Below are 6,000 nucleotides of genomic sequence, written 5' to 3' on the forward strand. Positions count from 1 at the left end.
TCATGAATAGATTAATACCCTTCCTGGAAGAGGAGGAGTGAGTGAGTTCTCACTATATTAGTTGCCAAGAGAGCCGGTTGTTAAAAAGAGCCTGGCACATCCATGTCCCCTCTCTTGCTTCCTCTCTTGCCATATGATCTCTACATACTAGCTCCCTTTTGCCTTCTGCCATGAGAAAAAGAAGCATGAAGCTCTCATGAGAAGCAGATGCTGGCACCATGCTTCTTTACAGCCTAGAGAACCATGAGCCAAATAAACCTCTTTTTCTTATAAATTATCCAGCCTCAGGTATTCCTTTATAGCAACACAAATACTCCCCCTTGAGTATTAAACTGAGTATTGGTCAGTGCATGTCTGTGAGGAAACGACCTGAAGCTAGAGAAATAACCACTGAAAAGAATTAGAAGTAACAATGCCTGGTGCTCACACAGGGCCAAGAATAGAGCCTGCTTCCATTAGTTGGACAAAGAAACTCAAGATTCACAGAGCACTGGGTAGAGTATCCAGGAAGGTCTTGCCTCAGCAATGGGGAATAATTAGGCCTAGACTGAGAATTGTCCTGCTTAAAAAATCTTAAAAGCAAGATCTGAAAAGATCAAACAGTTTCCAAGTAATTTAAATGCATCCCCAAACAAAGCTCAAGAATATTTATGAGAATATGAAAATATCAAACAGCCAACAAGGTAAAAGTCACTATGTCCAGTATCCAATCAAAGAATACCCAACATGCAAGAAGCATGAAAATACAACTGATTATGAGGGGAATCATCAATTAATCTTATCCTCTCCAAACTGACACAGATGTTAAATGCACAGGCAAGGGCATTAAAACAGTCATTATAACTTTAAGTTATACATATACATATATATTCAAAAAGTTCAGGAGAGATATCTAAGATGAAAAATGACCCAAATCAAACTTCTAAAAATGAAAACTACCATGTATGTCAGAAACACACTCACGGGATTAGTAACATATTAAACTTTGTGGAAGAAAAGATTAGTAAACTTGAAAACCTAACAATTAAAAAAAATTTGACCGGGCGCAGTGGCCCATGCCTGTAATCCCAGCACTTTGGGAGGCCGAGGAGGGCAGATCACCTGAGGCTGGGAGTTCCAGACCAGCCTGACCAACACAAAAATTAGCCAGGCATGGTGGTGCATGCCTGTAACCCCAGCTACTCGGGAGGCTGAGTCAGGAGAATTGCTTGAACCCAGGAGGCAGAGGTTGCGGTGAGCCGAGATTGCGCCGTTGCACTCCAGCCTGGGCAACAAGAGGGAAACTGCATCTCAAAAAAGAAAAAAAAAATTCAAAATGAAACAGAGAGTGTTAAAAGAAAAAAAGAGAGAGAGAGAGAGAACATCAGTGAGCTGTGTCCTAATGTGTGAGTATTTGGACAAAAATATTTAAAGAAATAATGTTCAAACGTTTTTAATTTGATAAAAACTATAAGCCCACAAATCTAGTAAGCTCAATGAACACCAAAGAAAGAAACATGAAGAAAACTAAACCAGGCCAGGAGTGGTGGCTCACGCCTGTAATCCCAGCACATTGGGAGGCTGACGTGGGCAGATCACCTGAGGTCAAGCGTTTGAGAACAGCCTGGCCAACATGGTGAAAGTCTGTCTCTATTAAAAACATGAAAACTAGCTGGATGTGGTGGCATGCACCTGTAGTTCCAGCTACTTGGGAGGCTGAAGCAGGAGAATTGCTTAAACCCGGGAGGCGGAGGTTGCAGTGTGCCAAGATCGCGCCACTGCACTCCAGCTTGGACAACAGAGAGAGACTCCATCGAAAAAAAAAGTATATATATGTGTGTGTGTATATATATATATATATAACAAGTATGTGTGTGTGTGTGTGTGTGTGTGTGTGTGTAAAACTAAACCAAAGCACAACTTAATCAACTTGCTTAAAACCAGTGATAAAGTAAGTACAGAAGAATAAAGATAAGGATGACAGTAGATTTCTCATCAGAAGCTGTACAAGCAGGAAGACAGATAAGCACCATTTTTTAAGTGCTAGAAGAAAAAAACTTCTAGAATTTTATTTCAAAAATGAAGGCAAAATACAGATTTTTTTCAGGCATGCATAAGATGAAAGACTATCACCAGCAGATCTGCACTATAAAAAAGTTAAAGTCATTCAGACAGAAGGAACACTAAACCAGACGTAAATCTGGATTTACATAAAGAAATGAAGAGTGCTGGGAAAGACAACTGCACGGGAAATATGTAAGATACTTTTCTTTTATGTAAATATCTTTGAAAGATAATTGAATTGACTATTTAAACAAAAATAACAATGTACAGTGAGGTTTGTAACACGTATGCAAGAAGATGTATGACAGTAGCACAAAGATCGGGAGAGAGAGAAATATAAATACATTGTGTGTGTGTGTGTGTGTGTGTGTGTGTGTGTGTGTGTGTGTGTGTGTGTGTGTGGTTGGGGTTTTTTTTGCGTTTTTTGTTTGTTTGTTTTTGTGTTTTTTTTTTGAGACAGAGTTTCGCTCTTGTTGCCCAGGCTGGAGTGCAATGGCACAATCTCGGCTCACTGCAACCTCCGCCTCCCGGGTTCAAGCAATTCTTCTGCTTCAACCTCCCGAGTAGCTGGGATTACAGGTGCCCACCACCATGCCCGGCTAATTTTTTGTATTTTAGTAGAGACGGGGTTTCACCAGGTTGGCCAGGCTGACCTCAGGTGATCCACTGCTTCGGCCTCCCAAAGTGCTGGGATTACAGGCGTGAGCCACTGCGCCTGGGAAATATGTTGTTTTCAACCTGAGAAAGCTAATTGAAAAAAAAGAAAAAGAAAAAGAAAGAAAAAAGAAATATGTCATAAGTTTTTTATCCTAAACGTGAAGTGGTATAGTATCACATTCAGCTGCAAGAGCTACAAAGTTCTCCAGGATAACAGCACAAAGAGAAGACCAAAAGCCAAGTGGAGGAGGCAAAAACAAGGTATTACTGACAGACTTTTAAATCTCTGGTGCCCATAGCCACAAAAAAATTCAACTCTGGTAGCTACAACAACAAATTAAAGCACAGCCCACTCCCGATTAGAGTATCACAAATCTCCGTAATAACCACCAAGCAGAAGGAAGCCTGTGTTTTTCTCCAAGCATAGAAAATATTTATATTAGTTATCTCCTGATACAGTAACAGAAATGGAGAATGTCTAACTTTCAACAAAAATTACAAGGCAAATCACAAGGCAAAAAAAAAAAACACAGTCTAAGAAAAAGCAATAATCAGTACTAGACTCAGATATGACATAGATGTTGGAACTGTATGTATATTTAGGAAAGACCTGAGAAGACCCTAATCTCTCACCTCCAGCTAGCCTTCTGACATGTCTATGCATGTCAGAAATGAAAACTAAGAATGCTAGGGCAAACTGAAGTGTTGTAGACATGCCCCAACAAACAGAGCTCCTTAGCACAGGCTGGAAAATTTGTTGATTTAAGGCACTTAAGAAAATCTCTAATTATTAGCTGAGCACTAAAGCTAACAAGCAGAGATTTCATGGCCATATATGACAAAGAAGAGGCTTACAGAGTTAGTTTAGAAAAGTCACTAACCAAACAAACAGCAGCAGCAACAACAAATAGCAACAATAACAAAACAAAACAATAACAAAACCTGAGGAAGGTGAGAATGTGATTCCCATACTTACAACATATAGTATTTAAACTGTTTCTGTTAAAAAAATTATGTAACATGCAAAGAAACAAAAAAATATGGCCTGTACCAAGGGTGGGAAAACAGGGAAAAAAAGTCAAAAGAAACTGCCACTAGGAAGCCCAGAAGTTGAACTTACTAGACAAACAATTTAAGTAAGCTATTTTAAATGTGTTTGAGGAACTAAAGTATGCTGTCTACAGAAGTAAGGAAAGTATGAAAATGCCATCTCGCAAAATAAAAATATTACCAAAGAGAAATGATTTTTTTAAATAGAAAATCTAGAGTTGGAAATTACAAACACTGAAATGAAAATTCACAGGAGGAGCTCAGAAGTAAACATGAGCTGGCAGAAGAATCAGTGAACTTAAAGATAGGTCACTTGAGATTATCTACTCTGGAAGACAGAAAAGTAAAATAATGATGAAAAATAAACAGGGCCTCAAAAACCTGTGGGACTCCATTAAGTATGTCAACATACATATAATGGAAGTTCTGTGCAAAGAGGAGAGAAAGGGGGAAGAAAAGATATCTAAAGAAATAATTGCCTACCATGTCTCAAATTTGATGAAAAACATGAATCTACACATCAATGAATTCCAAATAAAATAAACTTGAAAATATGCACATTTCAAAATTTTATAAGCAAAGAGTTGCAAGACAATGACAAAGAGAGACTCTTCAAAGCAGCAACAAGGAAGCAATGCATTACATACACGGAATCCCCAATAAGATTATGAGCTGACTTCTCATCAGAAAGTATGGAGTCTGAAGGCAGTTGGGTGACACATTTAAAGTGCTGAAAGAAAAAGACTGTCAACCAAGAATTCTATATGCAACTCAAGTATCCTTTAAAAATAAAAAATATAGGGAGTTATGTCAGGGAAGATGGCAGAGTAGGAAATTCCAGGAATATAACTCCTTACCTAGATGACAATTGTATTGGCAGGAACTGTTTGAAGTAACTAGAGTCTGGAGTCTATTTGAACCCTTACAGCTTCAAGGAGAAAACTTGGCTAGTAGATTAGTTAGTTTCTACCAATTTAAGCTTTAAACACCCCTTACTCCTAGCCTCATGGCAGCCAACTATGCCCATGTTCCTGGTGCAGCTTACTGGAGCCAGAATGGGCAATCACAACCTTCTCCTCCAAGTAACAGGAATCAGTGTTCTGTAACTTATTGCTGCTTTTGATCACTGAGGTGTAGGCACACAGGCTAGCCACCATTGATTCAACTGCCACAGGCTGACACAGCTTTCAGGGGATTTAAAGGAACCACACCTGCTTATTTGTTTGTATTTCTTTTTTCCCTTTTTTCCCACTGGGGAGCCAGAAGTTTAAGGATTCAGACATTTCAAAGCAACTGTGAGCTGGGCATGGTGGCTCACACCTATAATCCCAGCCCTTTGGGAGGTCAAGGCAGGAGGATCACTTGAGCCCAGGAGTTTGAGAGCAGCCTAGGCAACATGATGAAACCCTGTCTCCACAAAAAATAAAAAAATTAGCCAGGCGTGGTGGGATGCTCCTGTAGTCCCAGCTACTTGGGAAGCTGAGGTGGGAGGATGACTTAAGTCCAAGAGGTAGAGGTTACAGTGAGCTGAGATTGTGCCACTGTACTCCAGCCTGGGCAATGGAGCCAGAACCTGTCTCAAAAAAAAAAAAAAAATTATTGAGTCTGAGGAACAGAAAGGAAAAAATAAAAATGAAAGGAAATAAAATATAGACCAGGCCAGGCATGGTGGCTCACATCTATAATCCCAGCACTTTGGGAGGCCAGGGCTGGTGGATCACCTGAGGTCAGGAGTTCAAGACCAGCCTGACCAATATGGTGAAACCCCACCTCTACTAAAAATGCAAAAATTTGCTGGGCATGGTGGCACGTGCCTGTAATCCCAGCTACTCAGGAGGCTGAGGCAGGAGAATCACTTGAACCCGGGAGGTGGAGTGAGCCAAGATCATGCCATTGCACTCCAGCCTGGGTGACAAGAGTGAAACTCCATCTCAAAAAATAATAATAATAATAATAACATATAGACCAGTATTTCTTAAGAATGAATTTAGATGTAGACATTCTCAATAAAATAATAGCAAACTGAATGCAACAATAAATATAAAAGGTTATACACTATCAACACCATGACCAGTGGACTTTATCCTAGGAATGCAACTTTAGTATAACATCCAAGAATCAATCAATATAATATACCACATTAATAGGATTTTAAAAGACATAATTATCTCAATAGATGAAGAAAAAGCATGTGAAAAGATCTAATGCCCTTTCATGATAAAACATTCAACAAAATAGGAATAGAAGGAA

This window comes from Homo sapiens, chromosome 3 (assembly GCF_000001405.40).
Source record: "Homo sapiens chromosome 3, GRCh38.p14 Primary Assembly".
Taxonomy (NCBI): Eukaryota; Metazoa; Chordata; class Mammalia; order Primates; family Hominidae; genus Homo; species Homo sapiens.